At 38.6% G+C, this 22,926-nt stretch overlaps 1 protein-coding gene and 1 long non-coding RNA gene across 6 annotated transcripts in view; one reads left to right on the top strand and one right to left on the bottom strand.

Moving 5' to 3' along the window:
* KCNMB2-AS1 (KCNMB2 antisense RNA 1) overlaps window positions 1–22,926 on the top strand; it is a 334,939-nt gene that overhangs the window by 49,082 nt on the left and 262,931 nt on the right. The window contains exon 3 of one of the 2 annotated variants that reach the window (NR_126561.1): window positions 9,390–9,531. The exons of the other annotated variant lie outside the window; for it this stretch is intronic. This is a non-coding gene — a long non-coding RNA (KCNMB2 antisense RNA 1). The remainder of the gene's footprint in view (window positions 1–9,389; window positions 9,532–22,926) is intronic. 2 annotated transcript variants of the gene reach the window in all.
* Window positions 1–22,926, bottom strand: part of KCNMB2 (potassium calcium-activated channel subfamily M regulatory beta subunit 2) — a 307,994-nt gene that overhangs the window by 33,106 nt on the left and 251,962 nt on the right. For 2 of the 4 annotated variants that reach the window (XM_011512325.3, NM_005832.5), the window contains exons 2-3: window positions 16,106–16,182; window positions 3,859–3,981 (exon numbers count right to left, since the gene is read on the bottom strand). In XM_011512325.3, the coding sequence (XP_011510627.1) occupies window positions 3,859–3,914 (56 nt within the window). In that variant the 5' untranslated portion in view covers window positions 3,915–3,981; window positions 16,106–16,182. The remainder of the gene's footprint in view (window positions 1–3,858; window positions 3,982–16,105; window positions 16,183–22,926) is intronic. The other 2 variants (NM_181361.3, NM_001278911.2) reach the window with 1 other exon arrangement.

Below are 22,926 nucleotides of genomic sequence, written 5' to 3'. Positions count from 1 at the left end.
GTAGAATAGTATTGGGAAAGCATCCTCAAGGGCTTCAAAAATTCTGATTGTTTTGTTTTTTAAACTGAATGATGGGTACCTGGATGTTTATAATATCACTTTGTATATTAACATATGTAATAAATATTCATTTGTATCACTTCAATATTTAAAAAAACAATTTAAAGAATATTTGATAAACAGTCTGTAATGCCCTTAGCTTAAAAACCTCTCTCTTCTTTAATTTCTAAATTAATTATTCTGTTTGTTTGCTGCTTGAAATTTAGGGATCGGGCCGGGTGTGGTGGCCCACGCCTGTAATCCCAGCACTTTGGGAGGCTGAGGTGGGCGGATCACGAGGTCAGGAGATTGAGACCATCCTGGCTAACATGGTGAAGCCCCGTCTCTATTAAAAATACAAAAAAAAAAAAAAAAAAAAAAAGTTAGCCAGGTGTGGTGGCGGGCGCCTGTAGTCCCAGCTACTTGGGAGGCTGAGGCAGGAGAATGGTGTGAACCCGGGAGGCGGAGGTTGCAGTGAGCCAAGATCGCACCACTGCACTCCAGCCTGGGCGACAGAGCGAGACTCCATCTCAAAAAAAATGAAAAGGAATTTAGGGATTAAAGTAAGTTCAACTAACAAAGAAGTTTGTTTAGAGAAGAAAAAAATATTTCTCCACATTGCTGGGTTGCAGAATGGGAGATGAAGATAGGACCTTATGTTTTGTATATAGAAGATGATCAGAAAAAGATCTGGCTTGGAATTAAAATAAGGAAAAAAAAGTAAAACTGACTTCCATTTCTTCTGAGCAAAAAAACATTTGGTTTCAGAATTTTCAGTGAACTTTTCCTTCCACTGAAGTTTCTCTGCCTGCCCTTAAGCTGGTTTCCTGGTATTCTACGATTTGAGGAATCCCAGGGAATCCGATATACTGACACATTTGGCCCTGTTCTCAGGAAGAGGAGGTGTGGAGAGCAGCTGAGGATTTTGTATGGCCTGGCTTCTGGGATTGCTGTGGGAACACAGCTGGAGAAAGCAGGCACACACAGAGGCCAGGTTTGCAGAACAAGAAGAAACTGAATTACCAGCAATTTGAGGCAGTGCTGTCAGACAATCTAGTTAATTTATTTCCAAATAATTAACTGGAGGACCTTAATTATGTAGATTAATTATCAGCCATCATCATCTTCATTATCACCATGTTTATTGCCACCAAGAACACCTTAAACAGAGCCACAGATACTGCTCAAAGTCAGTTTAAAATCTGAGTCATATCTTCCAAGAGTTTGTGAATTAAGCAGCAAAGACGAAGATGTGGTCAAAAAAAAAGCACAGACAAATTAACTTCCAACATTAAACTAAGGAATGGCAGATTCTATTGCTTAATGGCAGATTCTATTGCTTGTATTTTTTGGCCATGCAGACTTATTTAATAAGCTTTTGCATCCCCATCCCATAAATAAAGCTGAAAAATGATTTCTTCGTAGTCAATATTTTAATTATTATAAATCCCATAGTTCTGAAATCATACTTTAAAAATAAAAAATTAAAACAGTAATTTCAGTTTCATAGAATCTTACTGATGCAGAATACTAAGCTAATTGTTCACACCTTTCAAACTCCACAAATATTACCAATACGTCAGTCACATGTTTATTATCTTCTTTGATATGCAATATCCAACTCTATTTTAACATACTTTTCCCCTTGTGGGCTTGGCTGTTCACTATCACTCCAAATATTTCAAGTTTGACAAGAGCCTGGGCAGGTACTGGGGTACAGGGAGAGAGCATCAGCTGGGTTCAAATCCTGATTCCATCACTGGCTAGTTGTTGGGCCTTTGGAAGTTATTGAAAATCACTCAGTTATTTAAAAAGCCTCAGTTTCCTCATCTGTGAAGCCAGCATAATAATATCTATCTTAAGAGAACACAATTAAAACCTACAGTACACAGTAATTGCTTCTTAAATGTTAATTCCTTTGTTCATAAAAAGTAGCAAAATATATTAAATTATTTGCTGAGAGTAAATAGAAGGTGAAAGAAATATATTACACTTCGCTTGCTCTAATAAAGCCTTCAGAATTTCAGGACAGCTGGCTGTTGACAGTTACAATATTCCTGTAGGGCAACAAAACTCTTGGATTTGGTCCTGGCATGAAAGTTGCAGGACCAAACCTCTGTCTTTCTGCACTTTCAAATATAGAATTTGAAATGACATATGAAATTTTATAGTGTTACAGAAAAGATCTTGCTGAAAGATGATTCAACTTGAAAGCAAATGAAAAATAATTTGATTAAGCCTTGAGAAAAAGCAGTGAAAACCTAGAGATGATCAAGTAAAGTAAATTTTCAGTTAATCTGCTTGGTGTCATGATGAGCACTGGGACTTGTTTTTTAAATGCTGACAAGGCAACATTATTTGCCTTCTGGGCTATAATTTTACTTAAATATCATATAATTATTTTTTCCATAATTAAGGTAACAATATGTTACAAAGCATTTGGAAAGCAGAGCAGTAAAAACCATGCTATTTCTTCCAGACTTTTGCCTATATATATTTTTTGTGGCTGCAATCGTAGTTTGCATGCAAATTTTCAACTTGCTTTTTTCAGTTAATATTGTGTCAAAGCATTTTAAAGTGCTAAGTGGTATATTACATTCAGTGATTTATTTAGCACATTTTCTATTGTGAATTTTCAAGTTGCTTCCCAATTTTTGCTATAATATATAATTATTGTGAAGAACAACTTTGCTTTTGAAATTTTTAAAAGAATTTTTATCTGTGAGGCAATTCAGGTTTTAGAAGGAAAATAAAAGTATCAGCTCTGAAAACAGTATTCAGGCAAACCTCCTTCAGGTTCTTCTCCTTGTGCCCAGCACCATTTATCAATTGTAGTTTTTAATTTTTATTTTATTATTATTTTTTCACAAATTTCCTTCAACCAAATCAATCCTGACTTCTATCAGATTCTGCCTGATGCGCAACTTGCTTACATTGCAATATGCTGGTAAAGGCAATTATACTTAAAATTTAGCTTCACTTAACCCAGATAATAGTGCAAGGTCAATGAGAAAGAGGAAGACTAAATATTTAAAAATGACTAGAGAATTTTATGAATACATTTACTCCCTAAACCCAAGTGAGAGGACTGGATTGAGTTGCACAAAGGTCATCTTGTCTTTCATTAATGCTGCCTTTGCCCTTTATCTTTCTTCTTATTCCCTCATTTTTCCCTTCCTCCCAGGCTATTCTTCCAAGGATTTTAAGGGCTCAATGGATTTGTATGTCCTCTTTTCCTCCTCTCATACTTTCTGTTTTCCTTCCCTGCCATATGTCCAGTGCCCAGAAATGCAGTTTTCATCACTTCAGAAGAAGAAACTGAATTGCCAGTAGTTCTCAGTATTTATTATTTTATTAATTATATTATATTTTTATTATTTTTTGTTGTTAATAAAATTAATTCAGTTAATAAATTATTATTAATACATTTGGTGCTCAGTATTTATTGAGCGCCATGTGCCAGGTACAGTGCTAGGTGCTGGAAATTCAACAACATAGTCTGTTTGGTTAAAGAAGATGATGGGAGTGGTGGTTCTTATTGATATCTGAAAGCAGAGCTGGAGTTAGCTAAGCAAAGAGCTTGTGACATGGGAATTTCTGACAGGGAACAACTTTTGCAAAGCTATGTGCTGAAAGCGAACATGTAAAGTGCAAGGAGAAGGAAGGCCAAAGTGTCTGAAACCCTACTCCTGTACTGTAGAGTCTGTCCCCACATTGCAAAGCATAAGGCTCAGTTGCCTACTACTTTCCTGTCAGTATCCTCTTTGGAGAGTCAGGTTAAATGCTTCTGAAAAGTGCCCAGAATCCCAGTGCATTTACCTTTTTTCATCATGTCTATAAGATGAAGAGGTCCGGCCACTGGTCCATATAAACATCTTAGAGAATGTTGGTCCAGGGTCTCCTTTCCTTATGGTGGATGTCCTGGAGGAATGGCAAAAAGACCTAGAAGAGGTACACAATGAAGTTAACAGCAACAAATAGCTCTCAGTGGATTGACTCTTACATAACAACAGGGTTTTGATTCCATAGGGGCAGTGGTTTTCAATCCCGGCTGCATATTAAAATTGACTGGGAATTTTTAAGAAAACACTAGAGCCTGGTCCTCTCTCAGAAATTTGCATTCAATCTTTTTAAATCTTCCTTAGCTGATTGTAACATACTGCCGGGATTGAGAATTACTGCCTTAGGAGAACGTGGTTTTCTAATTGATGTTAAAATCACATTTTCCCAAAAGTATCTCCTTCAAAATATCACTTTGGTATGGTTTCATACTCTGTACTATGCTGTATTTTTCCAAAATTTTAGTTCAAATTTGGATACTAAAACTCAACTTCTTCTTTCCTCTTCAATCTGTTTTTTTCTTTAAAATGCTGACAAGTGTGACATGTTGGTGATGAAACGTCATCTTTAACTGTGCCCCACTTTTGCCAATGTTGTGGCATCTGCCCATGGCAGTTGAGTCTCTGCCTAAGAAAATTACAGCATCAGTGGCAGCTGATACTCACTGGCTTCTGGAGAAGCCAGGTTTATAGGCTCTAGAGTCAAGATATTTTAAGAATGTTGTGGGTTATTATTATTATTATTATTATTATTATTATTATGACTTGGCTTTGGGAGAAGTTCTTTCCTCTCTAAGCACAGCACTAAAAGTAGTTAGCTATTATTGTTTTCCACATAATAATAATTTTCTTGAGAGTTAGGAACATTAAATAAAAAAGCCTTAATCATATATAAAAGTTAAAATGATATTTAACACATTAGAACAAAGGAAGGAAGACTGGTGATTCCTTCATGGATGCATAGTCATTAGTGGCTTTCAGTTTGGTTAAGCACAATATTAATGATAAGCATGAGATGGGAAATAACATTAGCTACTATATACCATATTATCTACTATATGCCACACACTTTGAATGTATTATTTATGCACATACGTATTTCATGAAATGAACATGCATATATCTGTGTTATGCTTATACAATGAAAACTCTGCAAGGTGGGTAGTGATATTATTTCCAGGTTCTAAATGATGCTTTCAGAAGGTTGAGATTTTTGCTTACATTTAGAAGAGGTAGACCCATGCTTCAAACCAGTATCTACTTGCCTTCCATTCTTTTAGTTTTTAAATGAAAAATATATTCTTTAGAGATGAGAACTTGCTACATTTCCCAGGCAGGAATGCAGTGGCTATTCACATGCGCAGTCATAGCTCACTGCAGCCTCAAACTCCTGGGTTCAAGAAATCCTACCTCCTCAGCTTCCCCAGTAGTTGGGACTACCGGTGCGTGCCAATGTGCCTGGCTTAGCTTCAGCTCTGTAATGTGCATATGAATGACCTAAAGATTTGGGCCAGTTGTGGTGGCTTATGCCTATAATCCCAGCAATTTGAGAGGCTTAGTAGGGAGGATCGCTTGAGTCCAGGAATTTGAGACCAGACCTGGCAACATAGCAAGATCCCGTCTCTACATAAAATTAAAAATAAAAAAAATTAGCCACGTGTGGTAGTGTGTGCCTGTAGTTCCAGCTACTCGGGAGGCTAAGGTGGGAGGATAGCTTTAGCCTGGGAGTACCAGGCTGCAGTGAGCCGTGGTTGTGTCACTGCACCACTCCAGCCTGGATGACACAGTGACACCCCCTGTTTAAAAAAAAAAAGAAAAAGATTTGTTACAATTCAAATTCTGCTTTAGAGGGTCTTGGGTGGAGTCTGAGAGCCTGCCTTTGTAACAAGCTCTCAAGCGATGCTGATATTGCTGGTCTGCAAACAACAGCGAGCAGCAAAGGATCAGAGCATGCACTCATAATAAGTGATTGGTTATAGGCCCTGTTTTGTCACTAACTAGCTGTGTGACCTTGAGAAAGTCACTTAACATCTTTAGGGCTTAGTCTGTACCACGGAGAGTTTGAAACTGTTGGCTTCTAAGATTCCTCTCAGCGCCAATATTTTGTGATTCAATAAACTGAAGAATGGATCTAAGCATATACTATATCGTTGTGTATTTACTTTCTGGGATTAGGTTTGGGAGTTGATCTCCTTCTATAACCCTTGGGTCAGCATCAGAGCTATGGGGAACAGAGACTGTGGGAGGTAGAACAGAGGCTGAGAGTTTAGTAACCAGTACAGATGCAAGAATTCATACATCTACTCTTGTTCTAGGATAATGGCAGGAATCAAAGGATTCACCTGAATGGATGCCCTAGACACTAGATTTAGAAAGACGTAGAAATTAAATCTGCTATCTCTTTAAATGGCTTAGGCCTGGTTGTTTAAAGTTATTTGTTTCTTTTTGAACATCTCTAAAATATCAAATAGAATAGGGACTACATCCATTATTAAAACCAGTTAACTTTCAGGAAATAAGAATACTTTTCATCTAAATTGAATGAATTACTTCATAAGAATGAGGATTGGCTTAAACTTTCAAGAAGTTATTTCAACTTGGACTCTGGTGGAATCCTCTGATTGCTTTAGTCATTCCTTCACAGGGTTTGGGCACAATTTGAGTCTAGCTAAACCAATAAATTCCTGAGTGCTGTCCTGTTCCTGGCTATTAGGCAGCATTTAATAGACACATCATACAAATTATAAATGTTTTGAAACTATACAAAGTGAAAGGAGCTGCAGTGATTTCAATACATTTAGAATATTTTTCAGACTGTGTGTCATTATTCCAGCATTGTATCTTTGCTCTGTTTCAAGATGATATAGAAAGAGGGAGATTAAATATATATTTATTCTAATGAACTGTCTAAATCTTGTTGGAAAGGACTTAGTGACTCCTCAGTTTATTCCAATAAGTGGATTTGGAGTGTTTCCACCCTAGTTTTCTTTCATAAAGACAAACCATTATTTAAAACCTGCTGAAGTCATTGTTAATTAAAATAAAAGGGAGTAGCTGCTTTAAAGGCAACAGTACAAAGGTTCTGTGCAGGTTAAAAAAATTTCCAGGCTTCAAAGAAACACCTAGAATTCCAAATATGTTAATGGAAGCTGGCTTGGAGGTTCTTTCCCAGCTCAAAGACAGCCCCCCTGAACTCCTTAAGATATTAATTCAATTTTGCTCATTTTATAGGACAAGAAACTTTTCATTTGAATTGTGATCAGGATAGGGATATAGAGACCAAAAAAGAAAGTACTTTACACAATTTTGTAATTTGGAATCCTCACGTAAAACAGAGATCTGCGTTGTATAGTGGCTGAACAGAGCTGTGGGCAGTGAGGAGAGGAAACCTGAATCTAATTCCACCATTAAATGATCTAGGAACTGGAGTGAACCTGGCAGAACCATTCCTATGTAACTGCAGATGAGTATGATGTGAAAATTCAAAGCTTAAAGATATAATCTCAGCCCTGAGTAAAAGGAGGGAGTCAGTGAGAATGTGATAATTTCCCCGTCTCAGAAATTTATAAAGGGCCCTTTCCATTTCTCAAGCACACACCTTGCTAGTTTCTGTTTCCATGATTCAGTTCGGCCATTCCTTCTGCCTTCATGGTGAATGAGTTACCCTGTTTCAAAGCCATCTCAGATGACCCTCTTCTGTGAGGTCTTCTCTGACCCATATGAACAGTTTCTTCATCTCTGCTCCCAGTTCTCGGTACTTACTTCTGCTAAGGCAAGGCAAAATCTATCCTGTTTGCGTGCAAATCTGCCTCCCATGCTAGGTTATAAGCATCTGTAGGGCAGGACTGTGTCTCATGCACCCTTACAGCACAATCCAGGACACATAGTAACACACTGGCTGTATTTGCTGCCTTGACCATCTAAGTATGTATTGGGAAATGTGGCCATTAGTATGACTTTGGCCTCATGCACTGTGACTCATCTGCTGGGTGCAGTTGATGTTTCCTTTCTGACCCTTCCCTTAGCTTGCACTGTCTTTCATTCTTCTTACTCTCTACTTCTTCTCTTTCCTTCTTTCAATTGTCCAGCTCCATCTATCCCTTTCATTGGCTTGGACAGAAAATTTCTGTTGCTTGGTGAAGTATCATTCACTAAGATTTTCTTTAGATAGGGCAACATGGCCTGATGAAAAGATAAGTGAGAGCAGCAGATGGGGCCATTTGTTTGTTTGCCTCCTGGCATCACCATATGCCAACTCTGTGACTTTGGACAAGTCAATTTAACGTCTCTGAGTTTTTGTTTCCTCAGCTGTAAAAATGGGAATAATAATATTTGCCTTTCTGGGTTGCTTGGGAGACTAAGTAAAACAATACATGTAAAAGTGTTTAAAGTAGACCATGAAACATAATAACATAATAATTGGTTAGTGGCACACACTAACCAATAGTTTACTCTTTTTTCACCCCGTTATTAAACTTAAAAACAAATGGATTGAATTTTCTCTTTTTGTAAAAAAATTCGATTAAGTCACTTTGTACTTGTACATTTAGACTATTGATCTTTTTTCTTATGGGTCAGTGGCACTCAATAGAGGAAAAGTGGTTTTCTGAGACATAGGGTGATAAAATCTGAAGTACTTTCTCATTAGCATTAAGTTCTGATACCCATTCTGAGATATAAAGACATAAAGATAGTGCCTCTGAATGCTGGTCACACATTAGAATTATCTGGAAGAATTTTAAAAAATACTGGTGCCTGGATCTCACTCCAGGCCAGTGAGAATCTCTGGGAGTGGGCCTCTGGCATTAATGTATTTTTGGAAGCTGTCCAGGTAATTATGATGGGCAGCCGAGAAACATGACTATAACCTCTCAGGTTCTGATTTCATAAGTTTAATTATTTATGGATACTCTTTCTGTTTCTAGAAGCTTCTACTGGGTGCCACTTCTCAGTGTCTTCTCACTTCCTACCAGTGCTGAGGCCTCAAGGTGACAGCTGCAAGGACAAGTGAGATACGGGGCAGGGAAAGAACAAAGTGGTTGCAGTTTTCTAGTGTCAGTGGCCCTGAGCTACGCATTTGGGATACTCTTAATGAACTCTTCTTTATTAAATGAGCAAGCAGGAGCCCATGGAACTATTTAACACATACTTATATGCCTAACCTTGCAGAAAACTGTAACACTAATGACATCACTCTGGCAACTCAAAAGGTCACTCTAAGCACAGAAATTTAGGGTTGCTTCTTATGTTTGAGACTTTATCTTTGTAGGTGGCAGATTATATATTCTCCTTAGGAACTGAGTTGTTTTGGCTTCAGGGCCTTTGGGGAAGAAGCCAAATATATGGTGATAATTTTAGACTTAGGGATTTAATTAAGGAAATATTGGTGCATCTTATTACAAGCAGTTTTAAATGTCATTGGGATCTTTTCCCTCCAAATCAACTACATACTTTACTTTGTTTTAGTTCATTCATTTGCCAAACATTTATTAAGTGCCTCTTACATTCCAGGCACTGTCCTAGGTACTGTGGGGACCAAAACATTCAGACCTGCTTCTAAGGAGTGCAGTCCATGGAAGAGTCAGAATAACAAATCAACATTTGTACTACACCAGACCAGCTCTCTTCTAAGGTTGCTATGACTTCCCAGCAGGTATATATAATAGTTGTCTCTCCACATTTACTTAAGCTCTCAGCTTGCTGAATTTGATACTGTTGCTCATTTCCTTCTACTATAAAGAGAAATGTTGTAAATGCTTTGCAACCTTGACTTAGAGGACAATGACCTCTTAGCTTTCCTTCTTCTTATCTAGCTGCTCCTTCCATTTCTTTTGTGGATTCTTATTTCTCTAACTACCCCTTAAATGTCAGTATAATTTTGGGAACTGGCAAGTACTACTGAATAGTCTCTTGATGCTTCATAACAAGAATGAAAAATACTTTTCTCTCCCAATTTGATGCCTAGAAGATTGAATGAATAGCCCTGCTTACTGCCCAGTTGTAGAGGAAAAGAAGAGTGCATTGCAGAACACTATTGTCTTTTGAGAAGAATGAAATAAGAGAGAATACATTCTTTGGATTTTTATTGCAGACTTCTTTTCTTTCTTTCTTTTTAATTTTTATGGGTGCATAGTATAGCATATAGTATGGGGTACATGAGTTATTTTGATACAGGCATACAATGGGTAACAATCATGTCAGAGTAAATGCGGTATCCATCACCTTGAGCATTTATCATTTCATCGTGTTACAAACCATCCAATTATTACTCTTTTAGTTATTTTAAAATGTGCAATAAATTATTGTAGACTGCAGTCACCCTGTTGTGCTATTAAATACTAGATCTTATTCATTCTATCAACTATATTTTGTACCCATTAACCATTCTCATTTTCTCCCTCCATTCCTGACTTTCCTTCCCAGCCTCTGGTAACCATCCTTCTACTTTCTATCTCCATGAGTTCAATTGTTTTAACTTTTAGCTTCCACAAATGAGTGAGACCATGTGAACTTTGTCTTTCTGTGCCTGGCTTATTTCATGTAATATAATGACCTCAAGTTCTATCTATGTTGGAATAAATGACAGGATCTATTTTTTTATGGCTGAATAGTACTTCATTGTGTATATGTACCACATTTTCTTTATCTATTCATCTGTTGATGGACACTTAAGTTGCTTCCAAATCTTGGCTATTGTGAATAGTGCTGCAACAAACGTGGTAGTACAGGTATGTCTTTGACATACTGAATTGCATTCTTTTGGGTTTATCTAGCAGTGGGATTGCTGGATTATATGGTAGTTCTATTTATATTTTTTTGAGGAAACTCCAAACTGTTTTCCATAACGGTTGTACTAATTTACATTCCCACCAACAGTGTACAAGAGTTCCCTTTTCTCCACATCCTCACTAGCATTTGTTATTCCCTGTCTTTTGGATAAAAGTCATTTTAACTTGGGGTGAGACGATATCTCATTGTAGTTTTAATTTGCATTTCTTTGATGACCAATGATGTTGAGCACCTTTTCATATACTTGTTTGCCATTTGTATGTCTATTGAGAAATGTCTATTCAGAACTGTTGCCCATTCTTTAATCAGATTATTAGATTTTTTTCCTATAGATTTGTTTGAGCTCCTTACATATTCTGGTTACTAATCCCTTGTCAGATGGATAGATTGCAGATATTTTCTCCCATTTTGTGGGTTGTCTCTTCACTTTGTTGATTCTTTTCTTTGCTATGCAGAAGCTTTTTAACTTGATGTGATCCCATTGGTGGATTTTTGCTCTGTTTTCCTGTGTTTTTGGGGTACTGCTCAAGAAATCTTTGCCTAGACCAATGTCCTGGAGAGCTTCCTTAATGTTTTCTTACAGTGGTTTCATGGTTTGAGATCTTAGATTTAAGTTTTTAATCCATTTTGATTTGTTTTTTGCACATGGCAAGAGACAGAGTCTGGTTTCATTCTTCAGCATATAGATATTTAGTTTTCCCAGCACCATTTATTGAAAAGACTATCTTTTTCCCCAATATATGTTCTTGCTACCTTTGTTGAAAATGAGTTTAATGTAGATGTGTAGATTTGTTTCTGGGTTCTCTATTTTGTTTCTTTGGTGTATTTGTCTCTTTTTCTTCCAGTGCCATGCTGTTTTGGTTATTATAGCTGTGTGGCATAATTTGATGTCAGATAATATGATTCCTCCAGTTGTGCTCTTTTTGCTCAGTATGGCTTTGGCTACTCTAGGTCTTTTGTGTTTCCATATAAATTGTAGGATCATTTTTCTATTTCTGTGGAGAATGTCATTGGTATTTTGATAGGGATTGCATTGAATCTGTAGATTGCTTTGGGTAGTATGGACATTTTAACAATATTGATTCTCCCAATCCGTGACTATGGAATATCTTCTCATTTTTTGTGAACTCTTCAATTTTTTGCATCATTGTTTTATAGTTTTCATTGTAGAGTTCTTTTGCCTCTTTGGTTAAGTTTATTCCCAGATTTTTTTTTATTTGTAGTTATTGTAAGTGGAATTACTTTCTTAATTTCTTTTTCAGATTGTTTGCTGTTGGCATATAGAAATGCTACTATTTTTGTGTGTTGATTTTTGGATCCTGCAACTTTACTGAATTTGCTTATCAATTCTAATAGGTTTTTGGAGAAGTCTTTAGGTTTTTCCAAGTATAAGATTATATAGTCTTCAAACAAGGATAATTTGACTTCTTCCTTTCCAATTTGGATGTCTTCTATTTCTCTCCCTTGTCTGATTGCTCTAACTAGGGCTTCCAGTACTATGTTGAATAACAGTGGTGAAAGTAGGCATCCTTGGTGTGTTCCAGATATTAGAGAAAAGGCTTTCATTTTTTCCCCATTCAGTATGATATCAGCTATGGGTATGTCATATATGGCCTTTCTTATGTTGAGATATGTTCCTTCTATGCCTAGTTTGTTGAGAGTTTTTTTTTTTTATCATCAAGAGATATTGTATTTTAGTAAGTGCTTTATTTTTGAGTCAGTGACCAACATCACATTGTTTATTTTTATTTCTTTTTTTTTCTTAATTTTAATTTTTAAGTTCTGGGGTACATGTGCAGGATGTGCAGGTTTGTTACATAAGTAAACATGTGCCATGGTGGTTTGCTGCACCTATCAACCCATCACCTAGTAATTAAGCCCAGCATGCATTATCTATTTTTCCCAATGCTCTCCCTCCCCCAACCTCACTCCCTGACAGGCCCTGGTGTGTGTAGTTCCCCTCCCTGTGTCTGTGTGTTCCCATTGTTCAGCTCTCACTTATAAGTGAGAACATGCAGTGCTTGGTTTTCTGTTCCTGCATTAGTTTGCTCAGGATAATGGCATCCAGCTCCATCCATGTCCCTGCAAGGAACATGATCTTGTTACTTTTTATGGCTGCATAGTATTCCATGGTGTATATGTACCACATTTTCTTTATCCAGTCTATCATTGATGGGCATTTGGGTTGATTCCATGTCTTTGCTGTTGTGAATAGTGCTGCAATGAGCCTACCAACCAAAACAAGCAAACAAACAAACAAACAAACAAATAAACACAAAAACAAACCAAGGACCAGATGGATTTACAGCTGAATTCTCTTAATAACTCTTAATAAACTAGGTATTGAAGGAACATACCTCAAAATAATAAAAGCCACTTATGACAAACCCACAGCCAACATCATACTAAATGGGCAAAAGCTGGAAGCCTTCCCCTTGAAAACCAGCACAAGACAAGGATGCCCTCTCTCACCACTCCTATTCAACATAGTATGGAAGTTCTGGCCGGGGCAATCAGGCAAGAGAAAGAAATAAACCGTATTCAAACAGAAAGAGAGGAAGTCAAATTGTCTTTGTTTGCACATGACATGATCCTATATCTAGAAAACCCCATCGTCTCAGCCCAAAAGCTTCTTAAACTGATAAGCAACTTCAGCAAGATCTCAAGATACAAAATCAATGTGCAAAAGTCACAAGCATTTCTGTACACCAACAACAGGCAAGCAGAGAGCCAAATCATAAATGAACTCCCATTCACACTTGCTACAAAGTGAATAAAATACCTAGGAATACAGCTAAGAAGGGAAGTGAAGGACCTCTTCGAGGAGAACTACAAACCACTGCTCAAGGAAATCACAGAGGACACAAACAAATGCAAAAATATTCATGCTCATGGATAGGAAGAATCAATATCATGAAAATGGCCATACTGCCCAAAGTAATTTATAGATTCAATGCTATTCCCATTAAACTACCATTGACATTCTTCACAGAATTAAATGCTTTTTCAACATCAGTCGAAATGATCATATGGTTTTTGTCCTTCATTCTGTTTATACGATGTATCACATTGATTGATTTGCGTATGTTGAACCATCCATGCATCTCTGGGATAAATCTCACTTGGTCATGATGAATTATCTTTTTAATGTGTTGTTGAGTTTGATTTGCTGTTTGTTGAGGATTTTTGCATCAATATTCATCAGGGATATTGGCCTGTAGTTTTCTTTTTTTGATGTCTTTGGTTTTTGTGTCTGGGTAATAATGGTCTCATAGACAGAGTTTGGAAGTGTTCCCTACTGCTCTATTTTTTTGAATAGTTTGAGTAGCATTGGTATTAGTTGTTCTTTAAGTGTTTGGTAGAATTCAGCAGTGAAGCCATTAGGTCCTGGGCTTTTCTTTGCAGGAAGCTTTTTATTATGGCTTTGATCTCATTACTTATTATTGGTCTATTCAGGTTTTGAGTTCCTTTCTGGTTCAATTTTAGTGGATTGTATGCATCTAGGAATTTATCTGTTTCTTCTAAGTTTTCCAATTTATTGCCATATAGTTGCTCGTAGTAGTCTCTAATGATCCTTTGAATTTCTGCAGTATCAGGTGTAATGCCTCCTTTTTTTTATCTGATTTTATTTATTTGAGTCTTCTCTTGTTTTCTTAGTCTGGCTAATGGTTTTTCAACTTTATCTTTTCAAAAAACCAACTTTTTGTTTCATTGATCTTTTGTATTGTTTTCCTTCATTTCAATTTCTTTATTTCTGCTCTCTGTTATGTCTTTTCTTTTATTAAGAATGGGTTTGGTTTGCTTCTGCTTTTTTAGTTCTTTGAGATGCATCATTAGGTTGTTTATTTGAAGTTTTTCTACTTTTTTGATGTAGGTGTTTACTGCTATAAACTTTCCTCTTACTACTGCTTTCACTGTATCCCATAGGTTTTGCTATGTTGTATTTCCATTTTTATTTCAATAAAATTTTAATTTCCTTCTTAATTTATTCATTGACCCATTGGTCATTCAGGAGCATATTGTTTAATTTCCATACATTTGTATAGTTTCCGAAATTCCTCTTGTTATTGATTTCTAGTTTTATTCCATTGTGGTCAGAAAAGATATTTGATATTATTTCAATTTTTTTGAATATTTAAAGACTTATTTGTGGCATAACTTATGGTTTATCCTTGAGAATGATGCATGTGCCGAGGAGAAGAATGTGTATTCTGCTGCCATTGGATGAAATGTTCTGTAAATATCTATTAGGTCAATTTATGTGATAGTGCAGATTAAATCCAATGATTCTTCGCTGATTTCTGTCTGGATAATCTGTCCAATACTGAAAGTGGGGTGTTGAAGCTATTATTGTCTTGGGATTTATCTCTTGCTTTAGCTCTAATATTTGCTTTTTATATCTAGGGGCTCCAGTGTTGGGTGCATATATTTATAATTATTATATCCTCTTGATGAATTAACCCCTTTATCATTACATAATGACCTTCTTTGTCTCTTTTTATACATTTTCTTCTTTTTCCAAGTTTCTGTAAGCTGGTTTATTTTTCATTTTCATTTACATTATAATATAAGATAGTATCTTCCTTGCTTGACTTCACAAGCATAAAGGTGGTAATATTAGTGGCAGGAACACCCATGGTGACATTTCCAGAGCGCTGTCCAGCTGTTCATCATCAGCAAACTGTGTTTCATACACCAGGACAGTGATACACATAACTCAAGTACAAATATTAAATTTAATTTCAACTTTATTTCAGTCTGAGATTAGTGCATTAAAAGAATCTGTAATAAAGCTTGATATAGAGTCTTGTCACACACATAATCTATTTTTATTTAGTATATTATATTTTATATTGTTTAATCCACACAGAGTTTTTATGTGTATGAGTTTTCTATTGCAACTTACAACAAATCACTGCAATCTTAGGCTACAGTTCTGGAAGTCAGAGGTCCAAAATCTGCCTCCCTAACTGGGCTAAGGTCAAGGTGCTGGCAGGAGCGGGACTGAGGTTCCTGTTCCCAGCCCCTAAGAGGCCACCACATTCCTTGGCCCCCTACTCCAAGGCCAGCAAAGCCAGATACCAGAAGAAGCCTGAGGAGGGCCCTCAGGCTCTAATGTTTTCTGCTTCTTTTGGTATCTGTGTGGCTCAGCCAGGAAAAGCTCTTAAACTGCAAGGACTCATGTGGTTACCCTGGGCCAGCCCAGATAATCCTGGATAATCTCCTATGTGTGGTCATATACCCATAGCTTCTGGAGTCGTGATGTAAGCACTTGGGGACCATTTTCTTGCTTACCTCACCATGTTTCCAGGGTCTTTGACATTCTCAATAATAAAAAGTTTAAAAGTGATAATTACAAAAATATAAAAACTCAAAGGATGCCCCCTGCCCCAGTTGCGTCACCTGTCAGCCCACAGCCAGTGCCATTCCACTCATACCTGTCTGCTTTCCAGGTATTGTTTAGCAAATCCCAGACATTGCGTAGACTTTTTCAGTACATTTCTCTGGAAGGGCCCTTAAAAAAAACAAACAAAACAAACCATAATGCCATTATCTTACCTAAAAATTTAATAGGATTTTTTTAACATCAAATATGTAATCAGTTCAGGTTTCCCTGATTGTCACAGAAATCTTTAATTCAGAGTCCCCTCCATCCCCCACAGTGACTTGTCATTTTTGCAACTGTTTTTTACACCCTAGGCACTGTGGATTCCAGCATCTCCCACAATAGCCAGGCATGACTTGCCATAAAGGAGTATGATGGATGCAAGCAGATGTGGCCTCATTTGTCCCCTTGGCCTTGTCCTTACCACACTCCAACTATACTGCCTATGGCCAGGGGGCTCTTCACAGAGCTGTGGTGATTACTTAAGACCCTCCCCACCTGTGAGTTCCAGCCCTCCTTTCCAGCAAGACAGAGGGTTTTGGGTACATCATGTCATTCTTTGCTTCAGACCTGGAAACAGCCACTTCTCCATGAAGGCTGAGTCGTCTTAGTGCTCACTGCTTCTGAGCTGGTTATAATCGTCATTTTTTGATTCTTGATTCTATCATCCTATGCACTGGCTATACCTGTGGAATGGTATTACTTCATTCCAGACTTGGATGGATCTGCCTTGCAGGTCTAACAGTCCCACAGTGACAACGACAGGGACCAGCAGCAACTCCTGCAGGCCTCCTTCCACTTGGTGTAATCCTTCACCTGATAAAACACAACCAGACCTGCATGTCTCATGGATGTAAGCCTTTTTTTTTAGATGGTGCTTGTTGTGAATACTGTGAGAGGCTGTTCAGGTACTGATCCAAGGTGAGAAAGCTGGGGGCAGATAGAGGGGACAGCCGGTCTTTGAGGTTAGGGAGGCAAAAACTTACTTCCTCATGCCCAGCACCATGAGACTAGCTAGGATAGGGGAACACGAAGCTACAGAATGACCCAGACATCAGGACAGAGCAGACGTGTGAAGGGCCAAGGGAAGTTGCCAATCTTGTCATGCCTGTTGTTGGTGGTGTTCTGCAAAGGCGTAGTGTTCACCAGGCCCTTAGTGTTCACCTCTGTACCTGGGGCCAGTGGCTGCTTTGCAACCGTGTAATATCCCTTGTTACATGTTACATGCGGCACTGTCCAGCCTGTGAAGACCTTGGTGTTGATGTCCATCCACTCACTAATGAACCCTTTGAAGTCCTGGATATCCCTTCAGATGGCAGCTCAGTGCAGAAAGGTCTCTGCTTGTTTGTTTGTCTTGTTCCCTTTATCTTTGTTTTTTGAGGCAGAGTTAGCTATTCCCTTCCAACACACTGTAGACTGGGAGGGGTGATTTGGTGTTTTGTCCTCTGGGCTGTTTTCAGACTCCTTGGCTGTCATCTGCATGGGAAGAGTCACCTGCTGGTGTTCAGAGATGAGGTAGCTGGCTTGGATCCCTGATAGCCCCATGCCAAATAGCAGGCTGGACTTCTGGATGACAGGCTCCTTCTTAATCGTCTTCTGCTCAGAACCTGCTTCTCTTTCTTCTTGGCTGTAGGAACCTCCATTTCATGCCGTGGTGCTTCAGGGAGTGTATCAACCTTGCAGTACCACAACAGAGACTGGGCTGGCTGGAAGCATCTGTGTCTGAGTCCTTCTGCTGTCCATTGCCCACCCCCCCAGGGTGAAGAGCAGCTTCCGCTTGGTGGCTTGCTCTCTCAATTCCTTCCCTCCATCACTGTAGTCCAGCTTTGAGGTCTTGGTTAGAGAAACTTTATCTTATCATTTTTTCCTAGCTTATTTCTCTGCCATGTCATCACTGAGAGAAAATTCTTGTCACGTTTTAGAACATCCACCCTTGGGCATCATTCTGCTTCCCTGACTTGATATTCATTTATGATATCATTGCTTCATCATCAACTGTCTGCAATTCCATAGCTGAAAGTGTTAATGAGGAATGTCTATTAAATCTGGTAGAGGTGTGTCCCAGAGTAGGGCCATATATGTTTGATTCCATAGCTGAAAATTAGTATTGATGAAGGCTGGCTATTAAATCTAATGGAAGTATGTCTGAGAGCAGGGCTGTGTATATTTAGGCTCCAAGGATTGAGTGACTCCATGGTGGCTCAGCAGCAGAACATGGGCACTGTCGATGTAGCTTGTGGCTGTGTTTACTGGGCTGTGTGGCCTGAGAGAAAGGGCAGCAGTGACAGTACAGGCTCCAAGCAGCAGCCAAGATGGGAAGGCTGGGTGGGAGCTGAGCCTGCCCTTGGGTGTGCCCAGTGCTCAGACAGGTGCTGTGACACCCAATGCAGGCACTATTGAGAGGGCGTCAGGCTGCAGGCTTGGCAGTGACACTTCCCCAGCTGGAGCTCTTAGTCCATCACTAGTTTTTGTCTTGAAATCTCTTTCATACAATATAAGAATAGCTACTTCTGCTCTTTTTTGGTTTTCATTTGCAAGGAATATCTTTTTCCACTCCTTTGTCTTTAGCCTATGTGTATATATAGGTGAAGTGTGTTCCTTGTAGGCAACAGACCATTTGGTCTTTTTTTTTAAATCCATTCAGCCACTCTATGTCTTTTGATTGAAGATGTTCATTTATTTCCATCCAATGTTATTATTGATATGTAAAGATGTACTCCTGCAATTTTATTGCTTGCTTTCTGGTTGTTTTGCAGTCTTCTCTTTCTTCCTTCTTTTCTTCCCGTGTTCATTTTTGTGAAGGTAATTTTTTTTCTAGTGGTATGCTTTAATTTCTCACTTTTAATTGTCTGTGTATCTGTGGTAGGTTTTTTGATTTGAGGTTACCATGAGGCTTGCAAATAACATCTTATAACCCATTATTTTAAGCTGACAACAACTTAACACTGATTTCAAAAACAAACAAAAACAACAAGCAGACAAATAAGAGGAAAACTAATACAAATTTGACATTTTAACTCAATTCATCCCACTTTTAAACTTTTAGTCATTTCTATTTATTCCTTATTATACTATGTCTTGAAAAGATGTTGTAATTATTATTTTTGATAGGTTTATCTTTTAGTCTTTCTACTCAAGATATGAGTACTTTATATACCACAATTACAATGTTCTAATATTCTGAGTTTGTCTGTGTACTTGCTGTTTTCAGTGGATTTTGTACCTTGAGATGATTTTTTATTGCTTAACATCCTTTTCTTTCAGACTGAAGAACTCCTTTAGCATTTCTTGTAGGACAGGTCTCGTATTGATGAAATCCCTCAGCTTTTCTTTGTCTGGGAAAACATTTTCTCCTTCATGTTTAAAAGATATTTTTGCTGGGTATACTATTTTATGAGGAAAGTTTTTTTTTTTTTTTTTCTTTCAGTACTTTAAATATGTCATGCCACCCTCTCCTGGCCTGAAAGGTTTCCACTGAGATGTCTGCTGCCAGACATACTGGAACTTCTTTATATGTTATTTACTTTTTTTCTCTTGCTGCTTTTAATATCCTTTCTTTATTCCTAACCTTTGGAAGTTTGATTGTTAAATGCTTTGAGGTAATCTTCTTTGAGTTAAATCTGTTTGGTGTTTTATAACCTTCCTGTACTTGAATATTGATATCTTTCTCTAGGTTTGGGATTTTCTCTGTTATTATCCCTTTGAATACACTTTCTACTCTATCTGTTTTTCTGCCTCCTCCTTAAGGCCAATAACTCTTAGATTTGCCCTTTTGGGGCTATTTTACAGATCCTGTCGGTGTGATTCATTGTTTTTTGTTCTTTTTTCTTTTGTCTCCTCTGACTGTGTTTTAAAACAGCCTGTTTTCAAGCTCACTAATTATTTATTCTGCTTCATTAGTTCAGCTGTTGGAAGACTCTGATACATTCTTCAGTATGTCAGTTAAATTTTTCAACTCCAGAATTTTTGCTTAATTTTTAAAAACTATTTCAATCTCTTTGTTAAATTTAACTGGTAGGATTTTGAATTCCTTCTCTGTGTTGTCTTGAATTCCATTGAGCTTCCTTAAAACAGCTATGCTGAATTTTCTGTCTGAAAGGTCACATATGTCTGTCATTCCGGTATTGGCCACTTGTGCCTTATTTACTTCATTTGGTGAGGTCATGTTTTCCTGGATGGTATCGGTGCTTGTGGATGTTCAGCAATGTCTGGGCATTGAACAGTTAGGTATTTATTATAGTTTTTGCAGTCTGGAGTAGTTTGTATCTGTCCTTCTTGGGAAGGCTTTCCAGGTATTCAAGAGGAATGAAGTGTTGTGATCTAAAACTTTGGTCACTGCAGCTGTATCTGCATTATGGGATACCTCAAGCCCAGTAACACTGTGGCTCTTGCAGACTTGTAGAGATACTACCTTAATTGTCTTGGTAAGATGCAGTAGAAGTCCCTGGATTACCAGGCAGAGACTCTTCTCCTCTTCCTTAACTTTTCCCTGAAGAAATGAAGTGTCTCTCTTTGTGCCGAGTTGCCTGGAGCTGTTGGAGGGGTGACACAAGCACCTCTGTGGCCACCACCACTGGGACTGCACTGGACTGGATCCAAAGCCAGCACAGCACTATTTCTTACCCAAGGTGCACAGTGACCACTGCCTGGCTACTGCTGATATTCACTCAAGGACAAAAGTCCCTTCAGGCAGCAGATAGTGAACCCAGCTAGGCCTGAGTTTCTCTTTTTAAGGCAGTGATCACCCCTCCAGCCCAGGATGAGTCCAGAAATGCCATTCAGGAACCAAGATATGGAATTGGGGATCCCAGAAGCCTGCTTGGTGCCCTACCCTACTGTGGCCAAGTTGGTACCCAAGCTGCAAGACAAAGTGCCCTTTAGTCTTCCCTCTCCTTTCCTCAACAGAAGAAGTCTCTCTCTATGGGCACCACAGCTGGGAATGTGCTGGGTCACACTTAAAGCCAGCATGACCCTGGGTCTCACTGAAGCCCCGTGATAAGTACTGCCTGGCAACCACTGATGTTTATTTAAGGCCCAAGGACCCTTTAGTCAGCAGGTGATAAATCCTACCTGGACTAGTTTCTTCCCTTCAAGGCAGTAGGTTCCCTTCTGGCCCACAGTGTATCTAGAAATGTCATCCATAAGCAAGGGCCTGGAATAGAGTCCTTAGGACTCTGCCTGGTGCCATATTCCACTGTGGTTGGGCTGGTATCCAAGTTCCAAGACAAAGTTCTCTTTACTTTCCCCTTACCTCTCCTCAAGCAGAAGAAAGGAGTCTCTCCTGGAGCTGCAAGCTGCACTGCCTGGGTTTGGGGGAGGGGTGACACAAGTACTCCCTTAGTTGCCCCGGATGGTGTCTCCCTGGGTTGTGCACCCACCAAGTCCACAGGCTATAAGCCCAGCACAGCATCAGGACTTGCTCAGGAATTGCAGTCCTTGTGGCCTAGGCTGCCTTTCAAGTTTATTTAGGACCTTAGAGGACTTTTTCCCACAGTGATGGAGCTAGCTGGAACTCAGGTTCTGACCACTGAGAAGGGTGATTCTTCTCTGGCTAGGGCTTGTCTAAATATTCTGTCTGATGGTGCCAGCTGGGTTCTGCCCCCATGTTGTTTTCCACTGTGACAGGGCAGCTGTGAATTTCAATGCAAAGTCCCACAATCACTGTGCTCTTCTCCAAGCACACAGATTCTTTTTCTGTGCCATGCAGCTTCTGCCAGGGGATGGAAGTGGCAGTGTGGGCAATTCAAGACTGTTTTTCCTACCCTTTTCAATGCGCTTTCCTTGTTATGATTTTAAAACCGGGTACTGTGACTGCTCACCTGATTTTTGCTTCTTATGAAGGTGTTTTCTTGTGTGGATTGTCTTTCCATGTAGTGTTCCTATTGCTTGGAAGTGGTGGTGATTGCTGGAGGGTTCTATTAGGTTGTCTTGCAGCCTGCTTTTCAGTTGCTGGGGCAACCATGTATGGACTCCTCTGACTGGCAATGGTGTGGTGGTCACTTGTGACCTCTGTCATGTGTTATGTAAAACAACTGCTGCTCATATAATCATGACGCATTGACATCTGTTTCAGGAGGACAGCAGCTCAGGTTAAATAATGTACCTGTCCTTTAGCCTGCTGTTGACTTGGTTCGTTAAACTCAGCAATGGGCTTTTATTCACAGCTTTGGGTTCCTAATCTTCATTCTGTCACTGAGCAATGGTAAACTGCAGACAAAACACTCCCTATTCCCCCAGTTTCACCATCTGTGAAAATATGACTGTGGAGCTAATCTGTATTCTTTTTAATCAATTCAGCATTCACTTCTTTATCCAACAAATACTGAACTTTTAGCTAGGTGGCAGGCACCGAGTTGGGTGTTGGGAACATATTGATAAACATATCAGACAATGCCTCTGCTCTTATAGAACTTTGGTCTAGAGGACTAGACAAGCAGGTCAGACAAGTGTGGATGGGTGTCTTTAATATAAGATTGTTAGGCATGTTCATAAATAATAAAATAAGTTTTGCATTGCATCACTTCTATGGTCATCACAGCTATCAGAAATGACCATCTCAGGTTTAGTTGAAAGAACTTTTAAATTAGATTCAGGTTGCAATCCCAGCTCCATTATTTAGTAATTATATGACACAAATACATTGTTAATTTCCCTGAGTTTCATTTTCCTCATCAAGAAAATTAGAGTAACAGCAGATATCATACAGGATTTCCATGTGACAATTATTTGAAATAATATATATGGTATTCTGTAGGTACTCAGTAAATGTTAGTTTTTTCCATTTGGGGGAAATAGCAGAATTTTTTTTCAAAATTTGGCCATACTGATACATAAAGCCCTTCTGTTTGATTTTTTTCCAAAGAACCCGAAAAG

The sequence above is a fragment of the Homo sapiens genome, chromosome 3, assembly GCF_000001405.40.
Source record: "Homo sapiens chromosome 3, GRCh38.p14 Primary Assembly".
Lineage (NCBI taxonomy): Eukaryota > Metazoa > Chordata > Mammalia > Primates > Hominidae > Homo > Homo sapiens.
Note: the sequence above shows the minus strand (reverse complement) of the source record. Positions and strands in the feature narration are given on the sequence as shown.